Source organism: Homo sapiens, chromosome 3, assembly GCF_000001405.40.
Source record: "Homo sapiens chromosome 3, GRCh38.p14 Primary Assembly".
In the NCBI taxonomy this organism is placed as follows: Eukaryota; Metazoa; Chordata; class Mammalia; order Primates; family Hominidae; genus Homo; species Homo sapiens.
Genome location: NC_000003.12, coordinates 8,956,976 through 8,974,904, shown reverse-complemented (window position 1 = coordinate 8,974,904; position 17,929 = coordinate 8,956,976). Strand labels below are relative to the sequence as shown.

The following is a 17,929-nucleotide window of genomic DNA, read 5'->3' as shown; positions in this document are numbered from 1 at the left end:
AGGGTGTCTAGCACATAGTAGGTACTCAATAATTATTTATGGATGAAATGAATCTTCACCTACAACTGGGGGGAAAGTGCCATTTCTGAGTGAGGTGGGCTTGGTAGCTAAACAAAGTCATATCTTTGGTGGTCATTCCCTCATTTAACAAACAGTTCTTGAAACTTACTGTGTGCCAAGTGTTATTCTGGGATGCAGCTTTGAACCAAGCAGACCAAGATCCCAATGGAGCTTATGGCCAAATGCTGGCGACAGATAATGACAACCACAAAGCCAGAAACACCCAGGGCATGGGGAGGAAGAATACTAGAATCTGCTTTAGACTGAGAGGTTGGGCCGGCCTCTCTGAGGAGGGGAGTTTAAACTGGGAAAAGCCTGAGAAGGAGACCACCATGCCAAGGGGTGACCAGGCAGGCACATGAAGAGAAAGAGATTGGCACAGGAGGAGAATGGAGAAGGCCATGTGGCTGGAGCTGAGGGGGTGAGAGATGTGAGAACAGCTGTCGAGAAGAACACAGGCAGGGCCTTTTGCGCCATGGTATCCATTTTGAAGTTATTCTAAGAACAATGAGAAGCCCTTGGAAGGTTGCAATAGGGGCATTACTTGATTCTACTTATTATTGTTAAAAAATTAATGGCTGGGTGTGGTGGCTCATGCCTGTAATCCCAGCACTTTGGGAGACCAAGCCGGGAGGATCTCTTGAGGCCAGGAGTTTGAGACCAGCCTGGGCAACAGAATGAGATCTTATCTCTACTAAAAAAATAAAAATAAAAAATTAGCTAGGTGTGGTAGTGCACGCCTGTAGTCCCAGCTACTTAAGAGGCAGAGGCAAGAAGATCACTTGAGCCCAGGAATTTAAGGCTGCCGTGAGCCAGTATTGTGCCACTGCCCTCCAGCCTGGGTGACAGAATGAGACATTGTCTAATAATAATAATAATAGTAATAATTCATCATCTCTGGCTCTGGACCACAGCCACTTTTTAACAACGGAGGGCTTGCATGATAATTGAGGATTAAAGTGCTGCAGGGGCCACGATGCTATGTCATGAATCCCAGATTACAGTGAACCTGCTTCTCTTTATCTGAGGGCCGATGCAAGAGGAAGAGTATTATTATTATTATTATCATTATTATTATTTTTCGAGATGAAGTCTTGCTTTGTCACCCAGGCTAGAGTGCAGTGGCGCAGTCTTGGCTCACTGCAACCTCTGCCTCCCGGGCTCAAGCAATTCTTCTGTCCCAGCCTCCCAAGTAGCTGGGATTACAGGCGACCATCCCCGTGCCTGGCTAATTGTTTGTATTTTTAATAGAGATGAGTTTTCACCATGTTGGCCAGGCTGGTCCCGAACTCCTGACCTCAAGTGATCTACCCGCCTCGGCCTCCCAAAGTGCTGGGATTACAGGTGTGAGCCACCGGGCCTGGCCAGGAGGAAGTATTATTATTAGTGTTTCGGAGCCTTGAGTGCCCCCATTCAGTGATGTTTCCGGACTTCCAGCTCTGCTTCCCTTCTCCATCCAGACATCCACACATGGTCCGTCTGACCCACTGAGAGATTGATTCAAATTCCTCCTAACATGGAGATCAATGGCCCCTGCATGTCACAGAGCTGCAGACTTCCCTTCCCGGGCAACTCAGAGTCCAGTCATCCGTGGAACAAGATTTTCCTTCTTCATTTGCCAGTTATTGTAACTGGACATAAACTAGTGCTTAGAGGTCTTTAATCTTCTGATAAATAGCATGACCCTTTTTGCTTTATACCATGCTGTCGAGAAATGTATTAAGGACTTGGTTGGTTACCAGTGACAACAACCCAACTTAGCCTGGTTTGTATCACAAGGCATGCTTTTTGCCCCCATCTGTATGAAAAGTCCAGAGATAAAAATGGATTTAAGCAGGCTGGGCCCAAGTATTCCAAGGATGTCAACAGGATTGGGTCTCTCCACTTCTCAGCCCTGCGTTCCTTCACACTGTACTCTCAGGCTGATTCTTCTCAAGTGATGGCAAAGATGGCCCAAAGCAGTTCTAGACTTGCGTCCTAGCATTTAGCTACCCCAGTAGAAAAAACTGTCTCTCTTTCCCAGTGAATGAGTCAGAGTCCCAGGATTGCCTCTGATTGGCCTAGCTTGAGTCACATGCTTACCATGAACCAATCACTCAGTGGAGGGTGGGTCTTACTGTCATTGACCAGATCTGGCTACTTGCCCAGTCTTGAGCTAGATTTGGGATTAGCCTTGCCTGACCACATGGTTGAGAGTAGATTAAGGGCTGTTTCCCAAAATGAATAGATGAGTTCTATTATTGGAAGGATGATGCTGGGGCCAGGTGTGGTGGCTCAATCCTGTAATCCCAGCACTTTGGGAGGTAGGGAGGGAGGTTCACTTGAGGGTAGGAGTTTGAGACCAACCTGGGTAACATAGTGAGACTCTGTCACTACAGACACACACACACACACACACACACACACACACACACACACACACACACACACACAATGAGGCAGGCATGGTGGCGTGAGCCTGTAATTCCTGCTACTTGGGAGGCTGAGGTAGGAGGATCTCACTTGAGCCCAGGAGTTTGAGGCTGCAGTGAGCTGTGATCACACCACTGCCCTCTAGTCTGGGCAACAGAGTGCGATCCTGCCTCTTGAAAGAAAGAACAAAGATGCTGAGCAGGCAAAGCCCAGAGAGCTTATCAAGAGCTCCAGTCTCCAGAGGACACTCTTGAGAAACACATTCATAGCATGGACATTCTCGCATCCCTTCCCCAGGTCCACAGGCCCCTGTCGACTGCAGGATCACACCCCTGTCTCCAGGTAAATGCTTTGTCTTTCCACAGCACCCATCCCCAAAAAGGAGTACAGCCACCCTGGTGGATATGAATGAGGACTCCAAGGCTAGGCTGCCTGGGTTTAAATCCCAGCTTCCCTCCTTTCTCACTGAAAGACCTCGGGAAAGTGAACACTTCAGTTCTCATTTCTAAAGTAGGGACAGTAACAGCCCTGCCTTGTAGGCTTGCTGTTGGGACAGCATCTGACACAGAGAAACCCCCAATAAATGTAGCTGCTATAGTTGTGATCTTGCCTTTTGGAGAGTCTTGATTCCAGTGCCCCAGTCCCAAAGCTGCATTCACCATTTTCTCCATATAGACAGGTAAATATGTTCATCTTGAGCACTTACTATGTGCTAGGCACTGTTTTAAGCAATTTTTCATAGACAGTCTCATTCTCTTGCAACAGACAGCTATAAGATATAAACTATTATTAGTCCTGTGAGGTTCAGAGAGGTAAAGTAATTTTCCCAAGATCACAGTAGTAAGTGGTAAACCCCAATGCATGCAGATCAACTCACACAACATGAGTGGCCAGCTACCTCCATTCCCCACATTAATTTCTTTGTTTCCAACATGTCTGGCCAAGGTCTCCATTTCCAGTGATGCCAAACACAGAGATACCTGTGTTTCTGGTAGACCCAGCAGGACAGAGGTTCCTGGTCACCATCCCTTCCTTGGCCTCCAGATACAGACATAATATATGTGGCTGCAGGATCCCAGATCGGGTGAATTCGACATTTTGTCCCCTATAGGCCCAGCACAGGCCCCTGCACATAGTGCTTACTAAATGATGGGTTAGAAGAAAAGATGAGAAGTAAATAAATTACGCATGAGTGGGATGATCGCCTATCTGCATTTCCCTCTCAAAGCGCGAGCCCACATCCAGCCTGATACTCTGCTGCCCTCATGTGGTCATTTGTAAGATGGCAGGCAGGGTAAGCAGCCTCTAATTTTTGTTATCAAAATTTTCAGATTTACAGAATGCAGAGAATAGCACAGTTAACCCATTATGTCTATCATCTAGTTTTAAAAATTATTCACATTTTTATGAGTTTGCTTTACCTCTGTTTTTGAATTTCAAAAAAATCGCTAACACCATGACATTTTACCCTGAAACATATCAGTATATGTCTCTAAAAATGACATTTTCCTGCATAATGATGACAATCTCATGATCACACTGAATAAAACTAATGACAATTTCTCAATAACATGTTACCTAATCCATATTCCATTTTCCTTGATTGTTCCAAAAATGTCATTTAAAAGTTGCTTTGTTCAAATCAGCATCCCGTCTAATGAGTATTGTCTCTTAATTTTTCTAGAGTATGCCCCGTCATGACTGGCTGAGCTTGTTTTCTGGTGAAATGCCCCACAACCAGCATTTGCCTGACTGCTTCCTTGAGTTGTCAGTTCACTGGTTGCTGTCCTCCCCTGTATGTTTTTTTATTTTATTCTATTTATTTTTTTGAGATAGGGTGTCATTCCATCGCCCAGGCTGGAGTGCAGTGGTGCAATCACGGCTCAATGCAACCTTGCCTTTCTGGACTTAGATGATTTTCCCACCTCAGCCTCCTGAGTAGCCAGGACTACAGGTGTGCACCACCATCCCTGATTAATTTTTTGTATTTTTTTTTTTTCTTTTGGTAGAGACTGGGGTGGGGGCTGAATCTCACTACGTTGCCCAGGCTGGTCTCAAACTCCTGGGATCATACTTGGCCTTCCAAAGTGCTGAGATTACAGGCGTGAGCCACCCTGCCTGATCCTACTCTGTATGTCTTTTAAATGGCAAGTTGGATCTACACCTTTGATTAGATTCAGTTTCACCATTTTTGGAGAGTACACTTCCTAGGTGACGTGCACTTCATATTACATCACATCAGGAGGTACCCACTGCTTGGTGCCCACTTTTAGGATCAAAAAACTTGATGAATAAGTTCAGGTGGGTTCATCCTCATCTTTCTCTGTGAGTAACAAGTGAACTTGTTGGCCTGATAATTTGGGGACCTGATACATATCCAGTTCCCCAAGAACCACTCTCAGAACTGTTTTATCACCCATTGGTGATCATTGCTTGAAACAATAATATTTCATTAGAATCTGCAAAATGGTGAGTTTCTAATTTTATCATTTCCTCTATATGTTTTAGCTACTAATTGAATACTTATCCACAAGAGCTAGTATTTCTCTAAACATAGCTTATTCTGAAAAGGAGGAATAAATGCTTAATTCTTTTCTATTATTCATCAACTTTCAGAGTAAGAAGCTGATACAATGACAACCCCCAGTGGCAGTAAATGAAGGCTTTCCTTTGTTTTGCTGAGATTAATTATAACTTTCTCGATGTAAAAATATCCAGTGCATTTCAATCCATTGCAATTGATGTTCTTTTTATTGCTTAAGTGCGTAGAAGCAAGTTCAAGCTGCCTCTTACATCCACTAGTTTTCAACTTCTTTACTGGGGGCACAATAAGATGTTCTAGGCTCATCTTGTACCTGCCCTGCCCCAGACCTAAAACCAAACATTTCTCCAAGAAACACTGTTTCCTTTTAGTGGGGATGGTATTTAGAGACCACACTCCACACACGGCAAGTGGGAGAGCTGAGATTTGGACCCAGGCAGTCTGACTTCAGAGTTGGCGCTCTTAACCTTTGTACCCTCTGGTCAACATATTTATTAGTGATGATAACAGTAATAATTACAACTGTAACTCCCACTGCCATACGCAGCCGTTCACCATGTGACAGGTGCTCTGCTAGGTGATTTCCAGCCTTTTTAAAAGAGCTAATCCTTATAACAGCCCTCTAAGTCAGTCATTATTATTTCAATCTTACAGAAGAGGAAAATAAGGCTCAGAGAAATGAGTGTCTTATCCGAGACCAGATGGTAAGTGACAGAGCATGGATTCAGATTTCTGTCTGTGTGACTCTACATCATGTTCCCTTCGTTGCTGTAAACTATATCAATTGGTGACAATTCTGTCTCCTTTCAACGGTTCTTTGCTTGGCTCCCTGAGCCCTGGCACTCCTATGTCCCAGGGCCCCAGGCTCAGGCATGTGTTTGGTGTCTTTCTGGGTAACTCACCCAGAGAACATTTGTTGGGTCCCCGCTACATTTGTGGGGTCTATCCAGGTCACTCACAGCTGTGCTAGGGCACAGAGGAGTTGGGAAGAGAAAGGCTGGTTCTGTCTCCTCCAGGAACCCATGGTTTAGTGAGGGAGACTAAACAGTTGCTATTAGTGTGTTTGTGCTATAACATGAGGTGTAACCTGCTTTCACTCTCCCAGAGGAGCAGTCAGCTCTCCTCTGGGGCTCTGGGAAACCAAATAAGCTTTAACAACCAAAAAAGTAGGGCGTCCAGATGCCATGACAGATGGTGGGAGAGATTTTCTGGTACAGGACTCAGCCACACACCTTTCAAATGGTTGCAGGTTGGTGGCTGCCTCTTTGTAAGGAAGAATGGCTAGGAGCCTATGGAGGCAGGAGGAGTTGCACGGGCCAGCCCCTGGCACCCGTAATCGGAATTATGCACCAGAATGGAAGCAGAGCAGAGACAGGCACAGGGGTCTAACAGAGCAGGAGAGGATGCTGGGAGTTGGCTATGGGAAAGATGAAGGACCAGCAGGACTGGGGCTCCAGCCACTCTGTATCTGGGGGCTCCTGAGCCAGGCTCCGGGCAAGTGGAAGACTCCTGTACAGGGTCACCATGGTTTTTAATCATTGCATCAGTAAACCATTGCTGTGGAACAACCCATGCCCACAGTTAGAGGCTTAAGAGAATAAACATTTATTATTTGCCATGATCCCGTGGGTATGTTGAGCAGTTTTCTGGTCAGGGCTGGCTGAGCTGATCTCTGCAGTAAGCAGGTGCTTTGGCTGGGGCTGGATAGTCTAGGATGACCTCACTTATGTATTGTAGGTGGTTTGATGTTGGCTGGGGTGGCAAGGTAACTTGGCTGTCTGTCTCTGATCACCCAGGAGGATCACAAGCTGGGGCTTATTCACATGGTGGCTATTAGTGCACAAGCCTCTGCTTGGGTCACCTTTGTTAATGTCCTGTTGGCCAAAGCAAATCACAAGATCAACCCCAGATTCAAGGAGTGGAGCCACAGACCCACCTGTTGCTGGAAGGAGTCCCATGGAAACAAAGTGTGGATAGGCAGGGGAAAAATTTATAAGCATTTTTGCAACCTGCTTACTTGCAGGCGCCCATTCCCTCTTTTTCTGTATGTCACACCCTGTTGTTCATTTGGGGCATCACTCCCACTCCCAAACTCACACTTAGATAATCTGAGGCACAGCGATTGGTTCAAGGATGGGCATGTGACCCAATTCTGGCCAGTGAGACTTGCTCCTGGTACTTTTGCTGAGAACTGTTGGGAATGAGGTCCGTCCTTTCTGCTGAGGCAGCTGTGCTAATAGAATGCAGGCCTGGAGCTTCTGGAGCCATGTTTGCCTCTCATGGGGGGAGCCTGCATGAGCGTTAAGTCGACAGTGAGGGAAGAAGATATAAGGCATTAAGAAAGAGTGATTATGGCCAGGCGCGGTGGCTCACGCCTGTAATCCCAGCACTTTGGAAGGCTGAGGCTGGGAGTTCACGAGGTCAGGAGTTCAAGACCAGCCTAACCAATATGGTGAAACCCCGTCTCTACTAAAAATACACAAGAATTAGTTGGGCATGGTGGCACACGCCTGTTGTCCCAGTAGGGAGGCTGAAGCAGGATAATCGCTTGAACCCAGGAGACAGAGGTTGCAGTGAGCTGAGATTACACCACTGCACTCCAGCATGGGCGACACAGTTAGACTCCGTCTCAAAAAAAAAAAAAAAAAAAGAAGAAAGAGTAATTGAGAGGGAAGAAGAGAGACCACCTGGATCAAGCCATACCTGAATACCTACCTCAGGTCTTTTCAGTTACATGAGCTAACACACTGCCTTTCTTGCTTAGGCCATTTTGAGTTAGCTTTCTAATTCAGCACTTTGAACCAAAAAGTCCTAATACAGTTCCCTCCCTTAAAAGTTCTTCCTGTCTGATCTCAAAGCTCTTCCCATCTGCAGACCTTGACTTGGACTGGGCATTCCTCTGTCTAGTGTACTTGTCACCTCTGCTTGGGCATATAGTAGGTGCTCAGCAAACACTTGTTTGAAGGATCAATAGGAGGGGTTGGGACTCCTCCTAAGAAGAGGCTTTGGTGACAGACAGGTAGCTGGCCTCAGTGAGAAGCTCCCAGAGGTGATGGTGGTCTGACAGGCAGGTGGACGGGGTAATGGGCACAGTCTGTAAGTGTAAACAAGACCTAGCTGTCCCAGGGCTGGGAGGGAGAGAATAAGGCAGGGTCCATGTCTGGGAGGAGTCAAGATAGGGGCCTGGTCACAAGGACACAGCAGGGCCTGCTTCCTAGAACTGGGGTCCACAGTAAGTGTGAGGTCCACAGCACTTTTACCTCACCCGGACTGTGCCACCAAGGTTCAGTCCCTGTCACCTTCTTCTACTGTACACTTTCCACTTTGATCCCTTCTTCACCCAGCAGCTAGAATGACCTTTGGAAAATGTAAATTACACCCCTGCCTAAAGCCTCTAAGGACTTCCCCCCTGTGCTTATAGCAACATAATATTAATGACAGCTGACACTCACACAGGGCTTAGTAGTTGCCAGGCACCCTTCTAGGCATTAAACCTAGAATAACTCCTTTAATTATCCCTACAAGGCAAATACTAATATTATCCCCATTTTGCAGATGAGAAAATTGAGGCACAGAGAGGTCAACAACTTACCCAAGTTAACATGGATTAAAATCTGAACTTTTTACTAAGGCATGGAACTCTCCACTTCTGGGGTCTTTGGGTCTTTGCATGGCTGCCTCTCTCTATCAGTTGGGTCTCTGCCCATATATCACTTCCTCAGAGGGAGCCTCCCAGATCATACAATTTACAGTGTCCCCTCCTCTGTCCATTTTATCACCCTTTTTTATTGTTTTTACATCAGTTACTGTTTTATGCAATTATCTTACTCATTTTTTTACAAACTCTCTTTTTTTTTATCCTGGCTCCATGCTCACCCCCAGGCTGCCAGCTCCTGGAGAACAGAGGCCATATCTGTCTTACTCACCTCTGTATTCTAGCACCTGGTACAAGTGGAGAGTGGCTCAATAAACATTTGTTAAAATGAATGGAGGAAGGGAGAGATGGAGGCAGGGAGGAAGGAAGAAAAAAAATAAGGAAGGAAGGAAGGAAAGAAGGAACGAAGGAAGGGAGGAAGAAAGGAAGGAAGGAAAGGGAGGGAGGGAGCTCCTTTAATATCCCCTCTCCCATAACTAGAATGAGGAAGATGGGGCCTAGAGGAAGAGAGAGTGCTGGGCAGAGAGGAACAGGATGAAGAGAACCTGGAAAGGAGCTCAGGGGCCACAGGACATCCCCAGGTTAATCCAGGGCAGGCCCCACACTCAGTTGGGAGAATGCTTCTCTAATTAGGGTTGTCAGATTTGGCAAATAAAAATACAGGATGCCCAGTTAAATATTTGAATTTCTGGTTAAACAACAAATAATTGGTTAATAGGTTGTGTGCAATATTTGGGGCAGGTTTACACTAAAATGTTGTGTGCGGTTCATCTGAAATTCAGATTTACTGGGCAACTTGTATTTTATCTGGCCATCCTATTCTGGCTTCTCGCTGTGTGCTATGTGCCACAGAAGATTCCACTAAACACTAGCCTGCTTTTATTTTACATGGAACATTTTGTTTTTAGTCCTGAATAAGGAAGTACAATCTCTTTATTGATCTAACAGAAGGAGAAAGTCCATACAAACAGCAGCTTGTTAAGAGGAGAATGGCTCCCAGGGTTAGATAAACACCCAAGACAAACGCCTTTTCCTGAGCTCAAAGTGCGCTTGTTCTTGAACTTTCCTTCCTGGGCCTAGAGGTGGGCTTGATGGGATCTATCACCCTGGTGCTGCTGAAGATGGCAGGAAGAGAAATGCTCAGCCTGGGAGGAAAAGATTTATGGGAATGTGGGCTTAGTCGGTGATTCATCCATTCATTCAGCCTCACCCACCAGCTATTGGCAGACACTCAGAGATGAATGGCACCGCATCCTGTCCTGGAGGCTCTCCATAGATAGGGAAATGTATTTTGGCCCCAGGACTAACAAGTACTGCCTCCTTCCAAATCTGTCTCCATGGTTGAATGCAAAAAGTACATTCCTGTCCCTGTCTTTTCTCTCTCTCCCTTTCTCCTTACCCATTCTTTCTCTTTTTTCTCATCTCCTCTCTCTTCCTCTCTCACCTTCCCAGCCATTTGTCACCTTAAACCTAATTACCTTGTCCAACTAGTAGTGTGAAAAAAACAATTACTGGTTCACTCAGGCCACGGACCTGGTCTTAAATGCTTTTCCTTTGTCTCTCCAAGACCCCACTTCCTCCACATCCAGAACTATCCGACATTTTCCAGCTCAGCCTGGCATTCATTTGCGTTCATTTGCATGCCGTTCTATGATTGGCTGATACAAAGTGGGGGGCGGGGGTGGACACCGTAAACCTCCATTCCTCATGCATTTAATATAACATGTATGAAAAAAAGTATCTATATTTATATCTCGTTTAAGAAAAAAATTGTTCAATGATACTTGTTAAAGCACAATAAGGAAGACTTAATCAGGACAATTCAAGTAGGTATAGAGACCACTGGAACTGTGTCTTGCAATTGGTGAAAACTGGGCTCAACTCTGAATACAACATGGGCAAATGGAAATTTATAGCCAGGAAGCAGGGTGGGGAGCAGTGCATGAAAAATTACTAAGAGGAAACATCAGAGGTAACAGTAGATTCTTGCTGAAGAGGCCAGGGTGATCAGACATCAACTGGGGGATGGTGGAGGATGAGGAACACATCAGATATCAAGAGTGATCACATATCAAAGGTGGGGATTCTTGGTAACTTGATTTAGCAGGGTTTTTTGCTAAAACTGGATTTTTACAGGAAGTACACAGATTGGCCTAGGAGAAGGTTCAGGAGCCTGACTAAAGTTTGCTCAAGCAAAGAATCTTCGTCAATCTGCATAGGAAATATCTAGAAGGCTATATGCCAAAGTTAATGGTGCTTCTCTCCGAAGAAAAAGAAAAACCGTGCATTAAAATTTTAATATGAATAAAAGCAACAGCTCCCATTTAAAGCCCAGAGGTCCTGTTTGGAATCTGACTCGAAACTCTATCCACTTTTTCGGGCGTAGGCTTCTCTTGTGTAAACTGACAATGATAACATCTACCTCCCAGTGTTGTGATACGGGAGACATAAAGTAATGGATATAAAAACTTCTGTTCAGAGCAAGGACGGATAGTCACTGCGATTAGGGTGGGCGACCCGGAGGGGGGTCATGAGCCTGGACCTTGACAGATCTGGTGAGGTCTGGATTTGGTTTGATTCCTGGCTATCTTTTCTTAATATTCAACTGGCTCTACGCTTTTTAACCATTCACTTTCTTCAAGGTAAGTGCGGCAGAAGCCTGGCGCATGCGCAGTACAAGCCCTTAAGCGGCGCCCCGCCCACATACTACTACAACTTCCGGCAGGCTCCGCGCCCGCCTCTGGCGCGTCGCGGGCTGCTGACGTAATGCGGTAGCGCGGGGAATTTCGAGTGGTGTTGGAGCGCCGGAGGCTAGTGGGTGGCTGACCCCCAGCATCCTCGGGAGCGACCATGGACTCCCTGGCCGAGTCTCGGTGGCCTCCGGGCCTGGCAGTCATGAAGGTGAGTGCTTCGGGGAGTTTGGGAGCTCCCGGGTGTCTGCGGGGGGAGGTCCCTCCCTTTGAGGAGGATGTCCTCGCCTTAAGGAGAAAGGATGAGGCGCGAGCGTCGCACTGGGCCCGGGTATCCGGCTCTGCCCTGCCACTAGCCGACCGCGTGGCTCTGGGTCTCAGTTTACTCCTCTGATAAGTGACAAGGACAAGCCTGGTGAGCTGAGGTTGGCAGTCTTATGGCACCAGCTATTCTGCGATCCAATCCCAACAATAACATGGAGAAAAACAGTTATTCCAAACAATGACATCGACAGCTGTTCTTTACTGAAAGCTTACTTTGTGTCAAGCACTAAACAGTGACACCGGACATGATTTTGGGTGGACACTTTATCAGATAACATGTATGTAATCACGTAGCCAAGCAGGTAGTCTCCTTTACAGGCTCTTTCATTTCTTCTGATTATTCTCAATAAACGTAGTGCTCGTTTGTTCTGACATACTGCCCCAACTCCTCTCTAACACACCTTCACTCTTCTCTAACAATTGCTCATGTCTCTTAAACAGAGATCAGGACTCAGGCTCAGCGCTGATCTTGCATTGCGTCTGATTATTTCACTTAAATAACATTTATTTTTGTGGCCACTTTCTGTTTTGGCAAGGCATACCAGTTTCCATTTACAGTAGTGGTGGGCCCTGGATTTGCTCAAGAGCAGATGCACTTTGCTGTGCTGGATAAAGATCAGTTGCTTGGTGTTTCTTCTTGCTCTGTGATTATTTCCGTTTCTCACAGTGGCTAAGATAGCCTTCTTCTCCCTCAGTTTTGTAGACTTGGGGATTATAATACCTGTCCCACTGACTCATAAATTTGACTTTAGAATTAAGTGAAGGCTAAAGTAAGTAGAAGGCCTTGTTCTTCCTGCTGTCATCAGTGACGTCTAGAGTGCTTGGGGACTTGAGATATCTGCATGATGAGAAGCTGACATTGTGAAATGATCCAGGAAAGCTGTAGTTTTGGAGTTGTGGGCTTGGCACCAGGATGCAGTGGAGAAGAGCACAGATTTGAGTTCCAGTGGTCCTGGGTGAAATCTCCTGTCTGCCTCTTGACTGTATGACCTTCGGTTAGTAACTTAACCTCTCTGAGCCTGAATTTCTTCAACTATAAATTAGAGACAAAAATAACAGTTCATAGGATTGATTAAATAAATTAGTTGATGTATGTGGGCACAGATTCTGCTGTGTATTCACTGTGCTTACTGCAGTGCCTGACACCAAGTGGGTGCTCAAATATTATTTGCTGCTTGATTGAAAGTATCTGGAATGTAGTAAGCATTCAATGAATATATTTTATTATTATTAGCACTGTGTTAAGTGCTTCTTTCCCCTTTTAATTTGTTGTCATGAAGCTTGACTTGGATAAGGAAAGTAAAAGAGCTCTGTAACCTGTAAAGCTCCTGCTTTGTAGATTTAAGCACACTTTACATATTCCCACAATTTCAGTGTTCTTTAGAGGCGGGTTCCATGTCTTCTCTGACTTTGGTATCTCACCACAGCACTGAATGTAGAGTTTGGCACCACAGAGCGTTCAGTGAGTGTTCAACCAGAGAGTTGATTGAGCCCGTATTTTTTTGCTCACATTGGAATCATGGAATCTTAAGGTTAGAAAACCAGCCCCTTTCAGTATTTTAATCTCCTTTATAACACATCTGCCAATTTCTCACCTAATTTTTGCTTGAACTCTTCCAGGCACAAAGAACTATCAGATCCCAGAAGCAGATCTGACTGAAGTTACTTCTTTTATTGAATAGAAGTCTGACTCAGAATCCATGGTTGCTAACTTAGGATTCACAGAAAGACTTTGGAGTCTCAAGTTATTTGTAAAATTTTTGCATGTATGTTTTTCTGAGCAGAGAGTCCATAGTTGTCATCCATTTTTCAAAGGGATCTGTAACCCCAAAAACTTAAGAGTATTTTTGTAATTATTACGTTTTTCCACCCATTTTCTACTTCTCCCTTTCACTTTCTCTCTCTCTAAACTAAAGAAATTTTGGGGAGTCTGCTGACCACTCTCTATTCAGGCATCATTTTTTGTTTAGTTGGTTGAGGCGCATGTGATATGCATGTTACTGTCTTGGAGTGACATGACAAGAAATTTGAACCAGAAATGGCTCATCTGATGTAGTGTCAACTTCCACAATTGTGCTCTGCAGATCTTTCAGAATCATTCCTCCACCAGAAGAGGATGGCATAGATAAGAAAGTGTGATATAATAGACTGGTTCTGGCTTCTGGGCCTGCCTCTGCTCTTAATTGATCTTGAACATAACCCTTTAGATTTTTGTGTCTGTGACAGCTTACCATCCACAATAATGGAAGATTTTGGCATTTTATTATTTCCCTGGTTTTACTTTAACAAAAATTTACTGTTTTTGGCATATTGTAAATGTAATATGTGTACACGGTAGAAAAAAATTAAAATTCAGAATAAGATAAAGGAGAAAAATAAAACCATCCATAATTCTACCACCCAGAGAACCAGTGTTTAACATTTTACCTTATTTTCCTTTGGTTTTTGTGCATTTAAAATTTGGGATCACTGTGGAGTCAACTTCTTGGGTTTGATCCAGCCAACTTAGGAACTCTGTAGACTTTATTTTTAAAATTGGGATACTGATGCTGTGGACTTCATAAGATTGCTATGAAGATTAAACTACAGAGTTGTTATTATTATGTATTATTGGCATAGGTTTGTTTTCTGATTTTTATTTTCCTAGGGCATTAATTATTCTTTGAAAGCATGTTTTTTAATGGCTGCATAATATTTCATCATATGGACCATTAGCGACATTAGTCCTTTTTTGTTTACATTTTTAAAATTCAGGTAATAGGTTCACATGGTTCAAAATACACATAAAATAAAAAGTAAAAGTCTCCTTCTTACCATGTTCCTGGCCCTGATCATTATTTATGACTTCTTGTTTATCTTCTCATTATTTACATTTACAATGAAAATAGAATGCATTCTTTTTTCCTTTTTTTCTTTTTTGAGATAGGGTCTCACTGTCGCCCAGACTGGAATGCAGTGGCAATCACGGCTCACTGCAGCCTTGAACTCCTGGGCTAAAGCAATCCTTCCGCCTCAGCCTCCTGAGTAGCTGGGACTACAGGCATGCGCCACTACTCCCAACGAATTTTTAAATTTTTTATAGACATGGATTTTTGTTATTTTGCCAGGCTGGTCTCAAACTCCTGGACTCAAGCAGTTCTCCTGCCTTGGCCTCCCAAAGTGCTAGGATTACAGAGCCACCATGCTAGGCCTATTAGAATACATTCTTACTCACCTCTTCCTTTTAAACAAACCGTAGCATAGTATATGTACTGTCTATACCTTATTTCCTTTTTTCACTTATCTTGGCAATCTTTTCATATCAGTATGATGGAGAGCTTCCTCTTTTTTTTTTTTTTTTTTGAGACAGTTTCACTCGGTCATGCAGGCTGGAGTATAGTGGTGCGATGTGGGCTCACTGCAACCTACGCCTCCTGGACTCAAGCGATCCTCCCGTCGAGAGCTTCCTCCTTTTAAAAAATATTTCTGTTGAATGGAATAATATTTTATTTTAAACAATTTGAAAGATTTTAGGTTGCCAGAGTAGTTCCGTTCCTGTTTGGATTGCATTCCAGGTTGGCACACATCTCTCTTTCCAAGTTGTCCACTTTCCCTTCCTCTGCTTTCACTGCCCCAGCTCTTTCCAGGCTTCCTCATTTGGCTGCATGTGTAGTACCATGCCGAAAGCACTGGACTGCCAGACGGGAGACAGGAATTTTGGTCTTGGCTTGACTGATGCCTACTATTGTGTGCCTGCTTTTGATACCAGTTTCCTCTTTTGACTAGACAGTTTCTGGAGTTTGGCTTTAACATTCTTTGATTTGATTCTTAACTTGTGTGGTGGCAATGGCCACCTTTCACCCAATAGTGACTATAGGCTAGGTGTTGGAGTCTGAAGAGGAGGAGGCTTGGAGTAAGAGCTGGAAGCGCATTAGAAGTGGAACAGAAGTACAGTAGCCCTTATGTGAAGGGATGACAATATGGCACAAGAATCGGTGTGCCATCATCTTTAGCTGTCTAAAGCAATTTGGGCAACCTGAGACTGAATGTATAAGAGTCATATGAGAGAAGTTTTTATTTATTTGTCAAGATCCCTTGCAGTTTATCTGGAGTTAGCTTTTGAATTTGTGTATTTGACAAAGAGTTTGATTTTTTTTTTAGGGGATAGAGAAAAAGTTTTGTGACAGGACTTCCAATTTTGATGTCTTTCTGATATGTATATATGCATATTTGCATTTCAGACAATAGATGATTTGCTGCGGTGTGGAATTTGCTTCGAGTATTTCAACATTGCAATGATAATACCTCAGTGTTCACATAACTGTAAGTATGTTTTGTTCCTGTGAGTTAGTAAATTGCGATTTTTACATGAGGTAGTGTTAATTTAACACCAAAGATATGTGCACATATTTATGTTTCACCTTTAGCTCTTCTATCTTGTAGTTTTTCAGAAGGTCTTTTTCACTGCCTTCCTCTTGAATATTGAAGGTTTTTACAAGGCTTCTATATTTTCTACCTCGTTCCTCTTTGATATTTTTATGATTCTTATAGCATTTATGGCAGTAAAATTTTTGGTCACAATAAGTGGTTCTTTATTTGCCAAGTGTTTTTTGACGTTAAGTTTCAGAATTTTTGTTTTTAACAGGATAACAGATAGGTGGTTCCACCAAGTAGTACTTGATATAGAATTTCAAAGTTTAAAAATCTGTAACAATAAGAATATTGCCCCAGTGGGAGAATTCTACCACTGACTTTATTACAGACAGTTTTATACCTTAACTGCTATGTGACGCTGGAAAGACTCATGTTGGAATTTGTTTGTACTTCTCTTTAAGAGTCTAGTATATAAGCATTTAAAAATATCGTACCTTAAGATATTTAGTGCATAGGGGTTACCCTATCATTGTTGAGGAGCTAGACATACAGTTTATGGGTTATTCAGGTTCATGATCTTTCTTGTCCTCTATTTTCAAGTTGATTTATCTTGGAAAGTTAAAAACAGTCAACTTAGGCCTAAGAAATTGGTTTTAGTTGGTAGTAGCTTTGGTGGAAAAGTTTCTGTGGAGAAGACATAGTAAGAGGGTAGCAGTGACGGCAGCACGGGCATTGCAGATGCCCTTGGGCTTGACTCTTGAAAATCGGGTGAGAATTTACTACTTTAGAAAATGTTTGTGAGAATTAAATGTGCAGAACTCACTGTCCGGCACATTATGAGTCCTTAACAATGTTAGTTTTCTTCCAGACAAGATTCACATTAAAAACCAAGATAAGTTTTGGAGATTGTTTTAAAATATATTTTAACATCATCTTTATTTGGGTGTAATTTACATACAATAAAATACATCCATTTTAAGTGCACATTAAGGTATAAAAGTGTTCATGAATTTTGACAAATGTGTATGCTGTGTTACTACTGCAATTAAGATACTGAACATTTTCATTATCTGATAAATTTCTCCCCATCTCAGTCAGTATGACCTCAGCTAGCCATCTGTAGTCTATTTCTGGACTCTTCTATTCCATTGATCTTAGAAACTTAGTAGTTTTTCACCAAAACTACTGCCCACTAAAACCAATTGTTTAGGCCTAAGTTTACTGTTGCTTTAGCTTTCCAAGATAAATCAACTTGAAAATAGAGAACAGGAAAGAGCATGAACCTAAATAATCTGTAAACTGTTTGTCTAACTCCTGAACAATGATAGGATAACCCCTATTGCAGTAAATACCTCAAGGTACAATATTTTAAAATGCTTATATGCTAGACTCATATATGTCTATCCTTGTGCCAGTACCACACTATCTTGATTACTGTGGCTTTGTAGTAAGTCTTGAAGTCAGGCATTGTAAGTCCTCCAACTTTTTTTTCTTCGTTTTTTTTAGGATCGTTGCATTTTAAATGCATTTCCATGTATAACTTAAAATCAGGTTGTCAATTTCTACCAAAAGCCTGCTGGGATGTTCACTGGAATTGTATTGAATCTAGAGATCAATTTGGGAGAATTGACATCTTAACAATGCCGAGTCTTCAGTGTATGAATATGATACACTTCTCTATCTTTATTTCTCTCAACAGTGTTGTTTGATTTTCATTGCACAGACCTTGCACAAAGAAATATAACTTATATTGACCTTTCGTCTTCTGACTGCAGTAAATTCACTTTAATTCCAGCATCTTTTTTGTTGATTCCTTAGAAATTTTTGCATACACAATCATGTCATTTGTGGATAAAGACAGTTTTACTCATTCCTTTCTGATCTATATGCCTT

General features: G+C 43.2%; 1 protein-coding gene across 1 annotated transcript in view, besides 2 other annotated features; it reads left to right on the top strand.

The window, feature by feature from the left end:
* Positions 3,606 to 3,900: a silencer, noted in NCBI's record as "tiled region #3594; HepG2 Repressive DNase matched - State 12:CtcfO". NCBI's record gives its function as "represses a minimal TATA promoter and a strong SV40 promoter by Sharpr-MPRA in HepG2 cells {active_cell/tissue: HepG2}" and the evidence as "EXISTENCE:reporter gene assay evidence [ECO:0000049][PMID:27701403]".
* Positions 11,416 to 11,585: an enhancer, noted in NCBI's record as "active region_19395". NCBI's record gives its function as "activates an Ori minimal core promoter by ATAC-STARR-seq in GM12878 lymphoblastoid cells {active_cell/tissue: GM12878}" and the evidence as "EXISTENCE:reporter gene assay evidence [ECO:0000049][PMID:35858748]".
* Positions 11,433 to 17,929, top strand: part of RAD18 (RAD18 E3 ubiquitin protein ligase) — an 86,398-nt gene continuing 79,901 nt past the window's right edge. Inside the window, exons 1-2 of the mRNA NM_020165.4 lie at positions 11,433 to 11,570; positions 15,904 to 15,985. Coding sequence (NP_064550.3) covers positions 11,520 to 11,570; positions 15,904 to 15,985 — 133 coding nt within the window. The 5' untranslated portion in view covers positions 11,433 to 11,519. The remainder of the gene's footprint in view (positions 11,571 to 15,903; positions 15,986 to 17,929) is intronic.